General features: G+C 45.0%; 2 protein-coding genes and 1 long non-coding RNA gene across 20 annotated transcripts in view, besides 1 other annotated feature; 2 read left to right on the plus strand and 1 right to left on the minus strand.

The window, feature by feature from the left end:
* SYN3 (synapsin III) overlaps positions 1–16336 on the minus strand; it is a 550562-nt gene that overhangs the window by 298993 nt on the left and 235233 nt on the right. The gene's annotated exons all lie outside the window — the stretch shown is intronic.
* Positions 1–16336, plus strand: part of TIMP3 (TIMP metallopeptidase inhibitor 3) — a 61337-nt gene that overhangs the window by 5108 nt on the left and 39893 nt on the right. The window lies entirely within an intron of this gene.
* On the plus strand, positions 4504–7528 carry LOC124905104 (uncharacterized). Its single transcript, XR_007068068.1, has 2 exons — positions 4504–7319; positions 7489–7528. It is a non-coding gene; the product is annotated as an uncharacterized LOC124905104 (long non-coding RNA).
* Positions 13515–14014: an enhancer, noted in NCBI's record as "H3K4me1 hESC enhancer chr22:33216313-33216812 (GRCh37/hg19 assembly coordinates)". NCBI's record gives its function as "activates a minimal SCP1, AML or CMV promoter by ChIP-STARR-seq in primed H9 embryonic stem cells {active_cell/tissue: H9 hESC(primed)}" and the evidence as "EXISTENCE:reporter gene assay evidence [ECO:0000049][PMID:30033119]".

Consider the following 16336-nt stretch of genomic DNA (forward strand, 5'->3'; position numbering starts at 1 on the left):
ATCGGAGAAGAGTAAAATCCTTTCTGATTACTTTTTCTAACTCTAGTCCCTTCTCCAAATCCTTTTCTTCCTATACATTTACATACATAGGTATCCATAGCAAATTTATAGTAGTTTTTCCCTTAGAAACATGAATAGTAGAACATTAAACATCATGGAATACCACATAATACCACATATAGTATTCTGCTTGTTTCCCATTCAACAATGCGTACTAGAGATCTTTCTACTTAATATATATATAAAACTGTCAGAGGAGCACCTTCTCCAGCTGGGACCCAGTCTCCTGACTGCCCCCCTGGCTTTCCTCCCACCACATTGGCAGACTGGGTAGCTCCCCCTGGGGACCCCTAACTCATCCCCACCTTTAAGGGAAGAGTCTTGGAACCTTGAAATGTCTTGTCTCTATTAACTTTACTTCTCCCTGGCCACAGTGAGACAAACCAAGTCCTTTTATTACTGTGGATTGATGGTTTGGAGGATATATATATATAAATATATAATATATAAATATATAATTTATATATAATATATAAATATATAATATATAATATATATTATATATAATATATATTATATATAATATATATATATTATATTTACATATATATTATATATATAATATATATATTTCTTTTATGTATTTCATGAGGTTATAATTTTAAACAGCTAATAAGTATAGAGTGATTACTATGTGCCAGGCATTATTCTAAGTCATTAACTTACATTAACTCATTTAATTCTCTCAGTTTTATGAGGGAGGTGTGCTATTGTCATCTCCATTTTACAGCTGAGGAAACTGAGGCTTAGAAAAATGAGGTAACTCGTTTAAGGTTATACTGCTAGCAAGGAATACAGCCTGTATTTAAGCCCCTTCACCCTGGCTCTAAAATATATTTAACAACTATACTATAGGTCACATTATACCATATCATATTATATATACTACTACATACTCTTATATTATTATAATTATATAATATGCATTTTCAATTTTAATAGTTCCTGCCAATTTGGCCTCCACAGTGGCTGTGTTAACACAGTTCTTTTCATATATGCAACATGAGGGGATGGAGGAATGTTAGAGCCCTGTGCTTAAGAGACTCCCATGCTTCTCTCAAATAGAAAAACAATTTATAATTTTTATTGACTTACTGAGTGTTTTTTTTCCTTCTTTTTGTCTCTTTGAAAGGGAGCAAAATTAGGGCCACGAAGATCAAGTTAATGGGAGTATTTTCATAGGGAGAGGAAGGCTGCAATGCCAGGAAAGCTGTGACCCTTGACTTGTTGCATGCTGGAGTAATTCGGTTGAAGATAGCTTTATGTATTTATTTTGCTTTCAGAATAAGCAGTGGACCATTTATTACACCAAGTTGTTTGACTTTGAGGACTTACATGGACTCAGGTTCAAAGGTATATGTGGCTGTGTTTTGAACACACATACACAGGGTTTTGCTTTCTGACTCAAAGCTGTCCGCTGGCCAGGCTCATGGTGGCAGCAAGGGCACTCACTCATCTGTCTCCCTTCTTGTTGCCTATGGATGGCACTTGGGTGAGAGCAGTGGGATGGTCACAAGGAGGAGGATGGACTGCCGAGAGGGAGGCTGGGTGGACCCCAGCCAAGAAGGACGCTGGGGTCTCATTATTATGGGAGCTAGAAGGCCTGGTTTAGGAAAGAATTCCTGTTCTGATGAAAGCTCTTCAGTGGACTCTTAGGATAAAGTATCATCAAATGGCTTTTACAAGGGCCAGTGTGGACCCTGCCTACCTCATCCTCATAGTCTCATCACTGGTCTGTCCTGCTCCAGCTGTTCATACTCTGTCTCTCTGGCTCTTGGCCCATGACACCCCCTCGGTTTTGAACAGTCCTCATTAACTTCTCATTCTCTAGGTCTCCTTTGGTTCCTTTCCCTGATCACTCCTTGGCATTGGTACAGACGAACAGTCATAAACCTTGCCCATATTTTAAGCATGCTGAAAAACACCATCTCTAGTAAAACCCAAATTCTCCAAAGCTGCATGGGAAACTCCCAGAGGGGATCATTCCTGCGCTGGGAGAAAGAACTTAGGGCTGCGTGCCACCCAGAGGGATAAACCTAACCCACTTTAGAGGGTAAGCACCCACTATGCTCTCTGCATTACTTGATAAGTCTAGTCCTGTCTTCTGGTGGACATGATACCCTAGCACCCTCCCAGAGAAGAAAGTGGAGATTTCTAAATGCCAACCCTGCAGGAGATCACAAACATAATACTGTAATTTTCATAGTAAGTTTGGTGCCCTTACTATGTGCCAGGCACTGTACCAAGCTCCTTACTTGCCTATCAGTCATCCCAGCTGCCTGATGAGCTGTCTCAGGCTAGGGAAGCCAAATGGCTTGCCCAAGCTCACACCACTTGCAACCTATACTTGCTTAGCCTATCTCCAAAACCTGTGTTTCCAATCAGTCTCTCATATAGACCAAGGGCTACAACTTTTTAGACTTGGGAAGATTCTACCCATTTTGCGACCTCTCCACATGAGTCTTTGGCTCCCCACTGTTGGGGTCCCCGTCAGTCTGCTTATCTTTGGTTTTCTTCCTCTCCAGACATGCCTTCCCTGCTGCCCCCAAATTTTATTACTGTATAGTCAGTTCTGGGATCCTAACATAACCAAGCCTTACCTCCTAACCCAGTGCCCTTTCAACTCTCTCAGTGGTTCCCAGACTTTTCAACACTATGGAATTTTTTAAAATTAATTTTTCCCTCCAATAAGTTCTGTGTTTGGAACAGTTATCCGACACAATTTCATGTGTTGAGTGTTGATTAACTTTCCATTAAAAAACAAATTAAAATATAACTAGAACTGCTGATACTAGCCAGTCATTATTCTGACACAATCAGCTAATATACTAATTAATTATAGCCGAAAGCAAGGACGGTTGGTGTTTTCATAAGCCTGGGAAGTTTTCTCATGGGTTCCTGGGTGATTGCATTGTCGGATTTGGGTTGGCTTACTGATATGCCTAAAATAGCTCCTGGCTTCTTTGGTATATCGCTGTCCTTTGCCCCTCCTGAGAATCTTTAGTTTCATGCCAGCTTAGCATCTCTTCTCCCTGTGGGCAGGTCCCATGCATTTACTGCCATTGTCACTTCTCCCTGTTACCCACAGTGCTGCCACCATGCCTGGGATAGACAGCAGGTAACTGATGTGTCCTAGTTGAGGTCCCTATCCTTTCAGAGGAGGTGACATGGGTTCAGATATTTTCCTATGTTCATGTCTGGCATCCAGGGGTACACAAAGTATTGATTCTAGCTAAAGGGACTTACTAAATACTGTTTGACAGGAGGCCCACAGGTGTCTATGTGGGCTGCAGTGGAACTAAGAGGTCTTTTTGTTCAGCTGTTAAAAAATTAGTGTTTGTAGCTTCAGAGGGGCCCCAGAGAACCTTTCCTGACCCATTTAGAGGCCATCTGTGTGGCTAGGATGGCTTTGCTGTCACAGAAGGGACAGTCCACACTACCCAACACTCAAGTCTGATTTATGTTCATGTAAATCCGATCACCTAATGGTGGCATTCACGGCTTGGAGACAAGAAACTATAAGTGTTTCCAAGCCTGCAGCCACCTGGCTTTTTGTGGGGGTGGGGAAGGGAAGGAAAGCTGTACGATCTGGCCTCAGAGAGCCCAAGGTAAAGTTCAGTTAGTGGAAAAACAGAGCCCTAGATGATTGGGCGGGGGGTGGGTACTGGGGAGTGGAGAGGGGAAGTCCTGAGCTGACCAAGCCTCCAAGAGCCATTCCGGAACTAGAGATCTTAAATACTACATGGTAATTATCCCCTCTGCCTCTGCCCATGAGGGTGTCAGGCACAGGGCCGCCTGGCTGCCTGCAGAGAAGAGCTGTTTCATTCAGAAACTTCAGAGCTCCTGCAATGCCTGGATTAGGATGTGGGGATGGTGAGTTTCGCAACCAGGGTCAGATTTCATGAAGACTTGGTTTCGTGACTTGAGGTGTTTGACTAAGGTGTTTGCATCTCATGTATTTAGGAAGGGCTCCCTTTTGACTTAGACTTTATCATCATGAATAAGCTCCCTGCCTTTTCGATTTGGAAACATGATAGCTCTAGTGAGCTCTGCTACTCCCAAGCTTGGGCAGGTTCTTTGCCTCAGTTTCCTCATCTCTAAAATGGGGGGAAATATATTATGTACCACGTGGTAACTTCATTGGCAATTAAGTGAAATACTTCATGGAATGTTTAGCACTAAATATTCCTTAGTGTTGAAAAGGCTGGGAACCACTGAGACAGTTGAAAGGGCACTGGGTTAGGAGGTAAGGCTTGGTTATGTTAGGATCCCAGAACTGACTATACGGTAATAAAATTTGGGGGCAGCAGGGAAGGCATGTCTGGAGAGGAAGAAAATCAAAGATAAGCAGACTGAGGGGGGCCCCAAAAGTGGGGAGCCAAAGACTCAGGTGGAGAGGTCGCAAAATGGGTAGAATCTTCCCAAGTCTAAAAAGTTGTAGCCCTTAGTCTATACAAGAGACTGATTCTTGGCACAGAATAGCTCAATAAGAATAAGCATGAGCTTTTAGTAGTAGTGTTGTTATAGAGCAGAGCTGATATTCTCACTTCACTTTCGGTGAGGAAAATGGCGCTCTGTGGTGTGATGTGATGTTTTCCAGGGTCATATAGAGAGAGCTGAGTTTCAATTCAAAATCGTGGTTTGATCCCCCCGCCTCCAAATCTAATGTGTTCCATTTTGTCACAGTGCTTCCCACAGGGCAGAGAAAGAAACAACAAAGTTCCTACTCTATTTTCACAACTCTTCACATTTTAGAGTCTTAAGTCCATTTGATCTCATTTGATGACAACTTCGCAACGAGGAAAGCAGGATGGTGATTGGGGGGTCGGTCATAGTTCCTAGTTAGTGGATGTCAGTATTGAGAATGGCGGGGTTCTGTGGCTTAGCCATATAGCCAATACATGGAATGGGATTGGAACCCATGTCTTCTGAGGGCAAGCCCAACACTTGTCAAGGATCTGGTGCTGCCCTTCCCTCTTTAGACAGCTCCCATTGATAAGCAGAGGTAGAAGTCACTAGGGTAGCCAAAGAGAGGGCCCTAGAAATGGAATGGTGACAATGAACTTGGCTGAAGAGTCAGCAACCGCTCCCCTATCCACTGCCAGGGCTAGGAGGTGCAGTGTGGCATGGAGGAGGAGCACTGGCTGGAGTTAGGAGGCCTAAGGTCTAGTCCTAGTTCATCATCTGACTCTGGAGTCCCCTTGGTGATACTGACCTCCCTGGGTTTGGTCTCTTATCTGTAAAACAGCAGGATATTGGCTCTATGTGGTGTGTATTTCACTGAATGCCTACTATGGTCAAGTTTTTCTGGCTCTAAGTTCCCTTGGAAAGGGCTCTCTACTTTAGCTGAATAACTCAGCACCTAAATCTGTCAACCACACCCTTCAGTAGGTAACTTTGTTAGAAATATGGTCTATTAAGGTAAGAGCCAGGATTTCTGTGGTTGCAAAAGTGGATGCGGGCTCTGAACAAAACCTCTAGTGAGCTGAGATACTTTATCAGATGACATATTTGACCACCAAACTTCTGTTGGAGCAGGGCTGATTTGCCAAACAGACAGCAACCTTGCAGACTTAGTCGATGGCTAGAATTAAGACTCAAGGTCACTTCAGGGCCTGTCACTGATTGTGGGAGGGCTTGGTAAAAATTGAACCTCATTAACACCACTGAAGAAGCTGATAGACAAGAAATGGGATTAAGACTCAATACTCATCAAAATAAGGCTTTCCTTATCCACAGCCTACCTGAGCAGTGCCTCACTCTGGAAAATGTGGTTCATGGCTCGGCTCAAACATTTTCTGTTGCTGAGAGGACTTCTCTCATGGAAGTCTGGCTCAGATGAACACATGTGTGATCTGATGGAACCTTTGTTTAAGTGAATGAGGAGGGTATTTGGAAGACTTAGATCAAACGTGTGCCCCATTGGGCAGTCACTATCTGCTCCCCTGACAGGGAGAAACCCCAGTGACAGGATAGAAAGCTCCAAAGATCCTGAGGAAGTTTGGAAGGTCAAACTTCACCACTGCAAGGACTGAGAGATCCAAGAATCTCAGAATCCAGGTTGGTCTCCAGGGTGCAGTTCTGAACAAATGAGTGCAGTGGATAAAAAGCTTATACTTAAGGTGGGAAGGTGGGTGTGGGTTCCAGTTCCTTCTTTGGCTGATTCTCTTTTGGCCTGGATTTCCTCACTTGTCATCCATGCCATGTCACAAACCCAGTGCCTACAGGGACCAGGCACAGAAGCTGGATATTTGAGTATCAGACATATTGGAATATTACTCACTCCTACCAAATATGTTTATGGTTCCCCATTCTCTTGGTTTCCATTTTGGAGAGCTAAACAGGTACTAAAAATGATTTCTTTATTATAAGACAAGCAATAAAACAGTGGGCAAGTGTGATGATAAACAGCATCTGAGCTTTGGCTTTGGAGTTGGGGAGACAATAGAGAGTGGCAGTAACTGTGGTGAACCGTACAGTCCAGGTCCCTTCTGGAGGGGACAGCTGCTGTCCAGCTCCAGCCTATCAGGATGTGAGTCTAGTGATGCCAGATTTCCAGTCTCTTAGGACAAGCAAGAAATCCAAATTTTTAATGTAACATCTTCTGAAAAGATACACACACACACACACACACACACACACACACACACACACACACACACACGTGGACCAAACAAAACATGTCCATGGGCCAGATTCAGCCTTGTGGGTCACCAGTTTTGTGATCTGGAATCCATTTTATTTCTAGAATCTCCTTTCAATTCTCGGATCTCTGAGTGAGTAACACCCAATTTTTTTTTTTTTGGCAAAATGTGTCCTGCATTTCCCACACTTTCTGAGCTGGAGCACAGGTTCTGGAGTTAGACCACTTGGCTCAAACCTTGGCCTCGTTCATGGCTAGTTGCCTGTCCCTGGACAAGTTAATTCCCTGGTCTCATTTTTCCTATCTGTAAAATGGAGTATGCAATAATAGTACTCTTAACCTCATAGGTTGTGGAAGAATTCACAGACACAATGGAAATAAAAGGCCTGGCTCATTGCCTGGCATGTAGTAAGGACCTGATAAATGTCAGCCATCATATTATTACTACATGGTATTACTGCCTCCCCTTAGATGGGAGCCAAGTCTTGCTCACCAGCTCATTGCCTGATGTTAGTAGGCATTCAATAAAAGTATCATGAATGAATAAGAACATTTGAGAAAGACAGCATTCCAGCCTTTCCAGGCAATACTCGTGTGTGTGTGTGTGTGTGTGTGTGTGTGTGTGTGAGAGAGAGAGAGAGAGAGAGAGAGAAAGAGAAAGAAAGAAAAGAAAGAAAGAAAGAAAGAAAGAAAACAAAGAAAGGAAAGAAAGAAAAAAAAAGAAAGAAAGAAGGAAAGAAAGAAAGAGGGAGGGAGGGAGAGAGGGAGAGAGGGAAGGAAGGAAGGAGAGAGAGAGAGAGACAGAAAGAAAGAAAGAAAGAAAGAGAAAGAAAGAGAGAAAGAAAGAAAGAAAGAAAGAGATTGGTTTGAAACATTGGGAGCTGAGCTTAATGAGAAAAGGCCATTCCTAACTGCTAAGCTACCGTATTAAACAGTGGCAAGTACCTTGGAAAATAAAACAGAAACCACTGCCCATCTTTTTCTAACGGAGAAAGACAAGAGATGGCTTGACCAGAGTGGAGATTTAGAACTTCAGGTGCTGATAAATATGGTAACATCATGGGGTGCTTTGGCAGCTGGATAGATTTTATTTATTCAGGGCTCCTTTAAGCCAGAGGAGATTCCTGGAGGCTGCTAAAATAGAATGCTCCACCTGGATAGTTAACATCTGGATTTTATTTTGTTTCAAAAAGTTAATTACAAATAGTTCGAATTCCTTCTGGTATCCCTCTGAGAAGAGTTTCTTACTGGGTGGCTCACAAGCGGGGAGACAGAAAGGGAAAAAAACTAGATTGATATTGCTCAGGAGAAACAGGATTGTGGCTACACGTGAGCCATGTATGCAATTTTGAATTTTCCCATAGTCATGTTTAAAAAAACGAGGAAAAAGTGAAATTAATTTTAATACTAAACCCAATATGTATAAAATATGACCATTTCAATATGTAATCAATTTTACACTTATTAATAAGATCTTAATATTTTTAAAATTAAGTTTTTGACATCCATTATGTATTTTACACTCATAGCATATCTCAGTTTGGACTAGTTGCGTTTCAGCTACCTGTGGTTAGTGGCCGCCATGTTAATACTACAGCACAGGTCAAGATAACATTTGCAAAGGCAAGGCATCTTCCCCTCCCCATTTCTAGTTTCATGAACTGTGCACAGGGATATGGGGCTGTTCGAGGTACTTTTGGGCTGACCAAGGCTCAGAGGCTACTGACAGCTTTGCTGCAAGTAACTTCTAGGCCTTGTGGGTCCCAGTGCAGGGAACCCATGTGCGGTGACACTGGAGAAGCCATCTGATCCAGGTCTCTCACTTGACAGATGGGGAAACTGAGGTCCAAAGAGGTACAGCAGCTTGGTTTAAGAGATAGAGATGGAACTGGAACAAAAATAATAACCATTTGATAATATTTTAACATTTATTGATTTGTTTTTATATGCCAAGACCTTTTAAAGCATTATCTCCTTTAAACTCTCATAACCACTCATTGAGGTAGGCACTCCTATTTCTACTTTGCAGATGAAAAAAATTGGGACTTAAGAGGAATTAAATATGAAAGCAGCTACTATTTGTTGACAGCTATTTTAAGATCTTTATATACATATATACATGTAATAAATTCTATTCTTTACTATAAACATACATGTCAGAAATTATTAGTGTTATCATCCTTGTCCTCCTCATTCCACTTTGCAGATGAAAATACTGAAGCTGAGAGAGACTAGGTAACTTACCTAGTATGTACCTACATAGTGAAGCCAGATTTGAGCCGGACCTCCTGACTCCAGAGTCCGAGCAATCTCACCAATTCTGCCCACGGTCACCCCACTGCATGATGGCAGAGCTAGTATTTGAGCAGGTGTGTCTGTTCTGTGGTCTGTGGTCTTCACCGCCCCACTAGACAGCCTGGATTTTTCTGCTCTTGAGTCTCAACACTTTCTGCCTTACTGTGCCACTAGTAAGGAACAGAACAGGGAGGTTTTTGACCCCAGCACTGATTGAAGGGCCCAGGCAAAGCAGGCTCGTCTCCTCTGGCTTGGCTGGTTCCCAGGCTGCCCTAACCCATGAAGCCAGATTCTTGGCCAAGTTAAGCAGGGTGGGAAGAACACTTGTCCATTCCGCCTTCCCAGTTGGGCGAGGTCAGTGTACCAGGTTGGAAAGTGGTATGTGTCTAATTGCAGGGGCGGGGGTAGGGGGGAGGCCAGAGGATTAACACTCTTTAAATAGACATCAGAAAACTAAGAATAGCCTTGCTGCCTGGTAATTGATGGGCATTCCTGACTACGGGCCACACACTCAGTAGGTGCTCGATAAACATGGGTGAAATACAGGAATAAACAAATACTGAAAATGGGTCATTGGGTGAGCACTTAGCCAGTAAAAATCTGTGCTTTGTATAAAAAGAACTTTGGACTGAGGTTATATGAGTCTTCCTGCAGGCTGGAGACCTCTGTTACCTTTACTTCTCTACTTTTGTTGTCTTGAGACCAGCTTTTTTATTTTTGGTGAGGAGAACAGCAGGCAGTTCAAATGTCAGGGAAAGACAAGTTCAGCTTGCTTTTTCCTTATTTCTGTCTTGTTACCTGCTATCCTGCCAGGTTAGAAAGATGGAATCACTCCCTTTTGCCCTATCATCAAGACTTCAGTGTTCCCTGGAGCACTCTAAATTTGCCATCAGACTTGGATCATCCTCTAATACCAAGCTCCTGGGTCCTTCCTGAAGGCTGCCTCCTTGTCTTGCTGAGAAGAATTAAGGTCGCTTCCCTGGGAGGAATTCAGCAGCACCTCTTGTAAGTCATCAGGTGTGCTGTAAGGATGGGGCAGGCAACATTTCTTTGTACTGTGGGAAGGCCTAAATCAGTGTTTCTCAAGGTGTGATCCTTGCACCACCAATCTTAAGAAATGTTCTTTGGAGCCGGGCACAGCGGCTCACGCATATAACCCCACCTTGGGAGGCTGAGGCGAGAGGATCGCTTGAGCCCAGGAATTGAAGACCAGTCTGGGTCACATAGTAAGATTCCCTGTCTCTACTAATTTAAAAAAAAAAAAAAGAAAAGGTGGTTGGGCCTGTAGTCCCAGTTACTCTTGAGGCTTAGGTGGGAGAATCGCTTGAGTCCACGAGGTTGAGGCTGCAGTGAGCCATGATTGTACCACTGCACTCCAGCCAGGGTGACAGAGCAAGACTCTATCTCAAAAAAAAAAAAATGTTATTTGGGAGAGCTGTTTATTGTATTCCCCTCTTGGAGAGACATGTGGCTATTAGCATAGTAAAAGCTCTGAGAAGTCCTGCTGCATGGTGACCTGTTTAGCTCTGTTTAATCCAGTGTTCTCTGAACATATCTAGCCAAGGAACTAATTTTCCCAAGAAGCACCTACAAATGCAGTTGGTGAGACACTGCCCAGATGAGGATTCTGAAAACCCCTTTTGCCCACTTGCCTGCCATTGTGATTGCTGAGTAGGGAAGAAGAAATTAGGAAGTATCATCTGCATTACACAGGGAAGCTGCTCTCCTAGGGTTGCCAAACAGAAATGGCTGTAGTGGTGCCAGTGGGTGCTTTGTAGGGACCAGAAGAAAAAGGAGGAAGGGAAGGCTGACCTTCAAGGTCACACATTTGCCAGATTTAAAGTTCCTTCCTGTGGTCATGACTTGTTTTATAATCTTGCTTGGCTCAGTTCTGGGCACACATCAGATTTTTAAATCCTAGGATCTTGTTTATACCGTTAAGGACATGATTGAAGGACATTGTGGTGAGTGTGAAGGTGAGATGTTTCTGATTGAAGGTCCATGGGGCAGGCACCCTGCGAGCAGGTAATGAACAGTAGGGGACATACCGGTGCAACCCCACCCTGGTCCCCTGGTCGTCTGGGCCAGATCTCTCCCCTCTCTGTTCTATACTTCTCTTACATCACCGTCCTACCTAATCATTTTACCGATAGGAGCACCTTTGGGATTCTGATTAAAGCTATGCATACAAATTTCAAGAGCTTCAGAAATTCTCCTAAAAGCTATCTTGGATCATTAGAACACTTGCCCTAGAGTATCACTGAGTCAATAATGGTGTTGAAACTAAACAGCAACAAAATCCCCCCAAAAAGGTAACCTAACTTAGTCTGAAATTGTCTGAAAATTAATGGCACTGCCAGTTCAGTGGCTGCTCAGAGCGTTTTGGTGAAGAAATTGGCTGATGGATATTTTGCAGTAGTCTACAGGATTTGACGTGGGATGCCATCTTTATGGACATGGCTCTGCTGGGCAAAGCAAGGACGGGCACATCCAGCCTATGCGGTCCATCAGGGGCACTCACATTTAGAATGGGGGAGTCTTAGTTAGCCCAGGGGCTGGGGGCAGCATGGTAGTGTAGAAAAAGGGGCCAGTGCCTCCAGAAAATGGGACCCCAGGCCTGGCTCTGCTCCTTCTGCTGTGTGATTCTGGTTGAGTGGCCTTCCCTTTGAGTCCTCTGGATGAAGTTAAGGAGAAGTCTTGGGTTCTCAAGTAGTCACTATTCAGACTCTCGCTTTCAGAGTATTTAAAGGAGGAAAGGAAACAGAAGGATAGGGCTGGTGGACTTAAAAGGCCGTGTGTTTGCCGCCACCCCATTTGCTCCCAGGGCTGGGTGTTTGTCTCCCCTCCGGCGCTGGGCCTCCTGCTTGGCCTCCAGCTCTTGCACCATTAACTGCAGTCAGAAAAGCTGATGTCACTGTGGCCGGCCTAGGGGGAAAGTCTCAGGATAAAACTGCTTCCACCTGGATCTGGAGAAGGGGAAGTGACTGGCAAGAGATTCGCAGGTAGGGCTCAGAGACCAGGAGGAATCCAGTCTGGGTAAGAATTCCCTGTCATGGGGCTCTGAAGCCACGGGCCAGGCAGGTAGTGGATTTCAAGCCAGCCAGCGGGGTCACTTGGCCCCTGCAGCTACTCCTCGCCCCCTCCTGCATAATTTCCTATTTCCTGCCTCCTCCTCCTCTGACACAGTTATAAATAACCTCGAGGCTGGCCTCTGCGCTTAAGTATAGGTGAGCCAGAGGAAAGTGGAGGGGATCAAGGTGGAGCTGGATCTGCCACTTGGCCAGGGGGTCACAGGGTTTCAGATTGCTCAGGGGAATTTTGTTTTCTTGTTTTTTCCACTAGGGAGTGAGGTAGTGAAAGAGGAAATAAGCTGTGTTGGCATGGGGAGGCTTGGCCTTGCAGGCCGGTGCTGGGTTTCACCCGCAAGGAGCTGCCTCTCTGCTCACTGCAGATCCCCAGGACCAAAGGTCTGGAAAGAGGCTTAGTGAGAAGGCATCTCAGGACACAAAGAGGACACGATGCCTTGCTGGTGAGGTCCTGCGGTCTCCTTCTCGAGGCCCAGCCCGGCCCCATATTGGAGGCCAAACATGTAGAAGGGTGTATCTCATTTTTTACCTTTTTTTCTCAACCACCAGCCAACGATGGGTATGTGATTTCTAAGGATGTCCATTGACTATAAAGGTCCCATTAATACATATGCTATGGACAGATTCTCTCCTTGAACACAGGTTTATGGAGCACCTACTATATTCCAGGTGCTGGGCAGAGTGCTAAGGTCACAAAAATGAATCAGCTGTGGCCTCTACAGCCTGTTCCCCTCTTGGCATAGATCTGCCCTTCCCCCTCCACAGTCTGGACAATCAAGGACCTGGAGTAAGCACACTCTAGGGGCCGCGTCTCCCAGCATATCTTTTGTTTTCGAAAGTTCAAAAAACAGAAGAGGAGGATTCTGAAACAGCAAACTTGCTGGGTCATCCATAGAGTATATTAACTGGCTATCTTGCTATCTGTCCATAACTTGCTACCTGTCCATAGTGTATATTAACTTCCTGGGAGCCCACTCACTGCCTGACTTCCTGTTCTGCGCATGGGCCCAAGGGAAGTTCTCGCAACCATAGTTTTCTGTGATATCCATCCTACCACATGGCTTCCTGGGAAACCCATTAGCTTTTTTGTTTGTTTTAGAGCCCAAGGGAATCAGGGCCTTGAGGGGATTTTTTGGTGTGGGGGGTGGTGCAAGCTTCTAACACTGAGAGTGGGTGCTTTTCTGATTCCTATGAAGGTGGAGTGTAGGTGTCGTTCCTGGCTCAGCAGAGTCAGCCCTCTCATCCTATTCAGGCCGTCTCTGAGGCTGGCTCCTGTGCCCAAGCCCTTCCTCACTCCCTCAGGGCATGATCACAGGGCATTTCCTTAGCATTCCTCCTTTCTCCCCTGTGTGTGTGTGTGTGTGTGCGTGCGCGTGTGTGTGTGTGTGTGTGGTGTGTGTGGTGTGTGTTCTACTCCGTGTGTGTGTCATCCTCTGCTCATCCACCCATTCCACTGCGTGTGTGTGTGTGTGTGTGTGTGTGGTGTGTTCTACTCCGTGTGTGTGTCATCCTCCTCTGCTCATCCACCCATTCCACTGCAGCACCTAGCATCACCTAGGGGCCTGGAAAACCTGCACCTGAAAGCCGTAACTCCCCGGCACCTGGCTGGTTGACTTCTTCCCCCTTAACCCCATTTACTTTGAGGATGGAGGTAGTCTTTAGGGTCAGGCTGAGATTTGTCCTGACCCATGCTTAGTTGGCACATCTTGCTTCTGCAACATGCTTGCTTAGGGTTGGGCAGGGGCCCGGAGAAAACAAGTCGTGGCATCACCAGGACCTGATTACCCCCAGGCACCAAGGAGCACCTGGGACCAAGGGGAGGTTTGGGGCTTGGGATATGTTTTAGGGTGAAGGATCACAGAAGCTTACTCATACCTATTTGAAAGCCAAGTCAACAGATGTGGGTTCTTGGAAGGAGAAAAGGAGGTTAACTGCTTACTTATTAGATTAGAAGTGATGTATGAATGATAAAGAGCAGAGTTTGCCAGATATTGCTAATTAATTCTCTCACTGCTTATTTTATGGATGATAAAGGGTAGGGAGAGACATGTTAATTGGCTTCAAGGTCTCTGAGCCAAGCATGACCAATCCGAGAAACCCAGGTGGCTTCATGCTCTTTCAATATGATCTCATCCCTGCACTAGAGAATTTATATTTTTGAGCATAAAGAATACCCACCGGTGCAATCTCCCAGGCTCTTCTGAAGGGTTTGGAGAGACAGTGGAGGATGTCAAAAGAGATGAACTTAGAGTCAAAAAAAGCAGAGATGGAATCCCGTCTCTGCCTTTTACCACTGGAGTTAGTTGACTAAAATGTAAACTCTGAGCCTTGGTTTTCCCAATTGCAAAATGGGAAAGACCCCATTTATAATGCAGGTGGGTGAGAGATGCCAGCAGTGACAGGGACTTTCAGTAAAGGCTGAGCTGAAGCTGAATTTGAAAAGCACATTCTTTACGTTCCATTGAAGATCTGCACTTGCTCTTCTGCTAACCGCTAAGGTGTCATCAGTGCTGTGCTATTAAAATCAGAAGTCAAAGAAGGTGGGTGTGGCCCTCATAGCCAGAGTTGATAGAAATGGATTTATTAATATAATGGATGGTCCATAGAAAGGTGAATGACCTGGTTAACAGACAGGGATGGAGTGGAGACCTGTCTGCCCTGGTCTTCAGGCTGGTTCTGAAATCACAGAATTAAGATGATCTCAGCTGAGGGGCAAGGCAAATCGGATGGAAGAGCGGAGGCCCAGAGAAGCGAAGCCCTTTCCCAATATCTCACAGCAGGTGGGGAGTGGGGGAAAGCAGCTTCCAGGGGGTGGATTCCTGAACCAGGTATTTGTCACTGTCCCACGTAGCTCCTCTTGTCACCATATGTCCCACTCAGTGGAGGGATACTTCCTGCAAGACAAAGAGGGCCTCATGGTTCCCCCGTCACTCACTGCCTTCCACTCCCTGCTTCTGATTATTCTGTAAGAAGTTGAGGCCGAGCGCAGTGGCTCACGCCTGTAATCTCAGCACTTTGGGAGGCCGAGGCAGGCGGATCACCTGAGGTCGGGAGTTCGAGACCAGCCTGACCAACATGGAGAAACCCCATCTCTACTAAAAATACAAAATTAGCCGGGCGTGGTGGCGCATGCCTGTAATCCCAGCTACTCGGGAGGCTGAGGCAGGAGAATTGCTTGAACCTGGGAGGCAGAGGTTGCAATGAGCCGAGATCGCACCATTGCACTCCAGCCTGGGCAACAAGAGCAAAACTCCATCTCAAAAAAAAAAAAAAAAAAAGAAGTTGGAGCTCTGTCTGTCTGTCCTTTCCCCAACTCCCCATCTCCGAGGCTGGCTCCTGTGCCCAAAGTCTTCCTCGCTGTCTCTGGGTATGTTCACAGGGTATGATCACATTTCCCCTGCATGCCCTGCGTGGGATGTGCTCCATGTGCTGATGCCTCTGGGGATTTCCAGATGATGTCCCTGGACTTGGCAGAGCAGTGTGGGGAATCTGGGACTTGCACTTCCTATCCTCATGGAGTCTGGTCTCTCACCTTCACAGGCCACTAAGAGGAAAGGCAACTGGTGTGACGTCTGGGGAGGGAAGTATGTTCCTGTGCATCGAAAGCCTCAAACATGTGCATACACTTTAACTAGCAATCTTACTTCTAGAAATTTAGTCCTAAGAAATAACTAGGCAATGGAGTCCATTGCTACATTGTTTATCCCCAAATTAATCTAAATGTCTATTGCAAATAGACTGCTTAGATTATGGTGCGTTCATACAGTGAAGATCTGCACTTCCTCTTCTGCTAACCGCTAAGGTGTCATCAGTGCTGTGCTATTAAAATCAGAAGTCAAAGGAGGTGGGTGTGGCCCTCATAGCCAGAGTTGATAGAAATGGATTTATTAATATAATGGATGGTCCAAAGAAAGGTGAATGAAAGAGTCATAAAAGATGTTGAGGTAGTTCTCTATTGATGCCAGAATAGCCCTATGGTGCACTTTTGAGTAACAGAAGCCAATTTGTTAAAAACAACAACAACAACAACAACAAAAAAAAAACAGAGAGAGAGAGATGAATGTGCATCCAGATGCTTAGAGAAGAGTCTGAATGTCTGTATACTAAATATCAACACTAGTTACTCTGCGCTGTGGGATTTTGGATGATTTTAATTTGATCCAGTGTTTTCTGGAAAATAAAATTTCACTACATTGACACATCATTTGATAATCAGATAAAAGAACAATGGTGGGAAAGCAAGGACTCAAGT

The sequence above is a fragment of the Homo sapiens genome, chromosome 22 (genome assembly GCF_000001405.40).
Source record: "Homo sapiens chromosome 22, GRCh38.p14 Primary Assembly".
Classification (NCBI taxonomy): domain Eukaryota; kingdom Metazoa; phylum Chordata; class Mammalia; order Primates; family Hominidae; genus Homo; species Homo sapiens.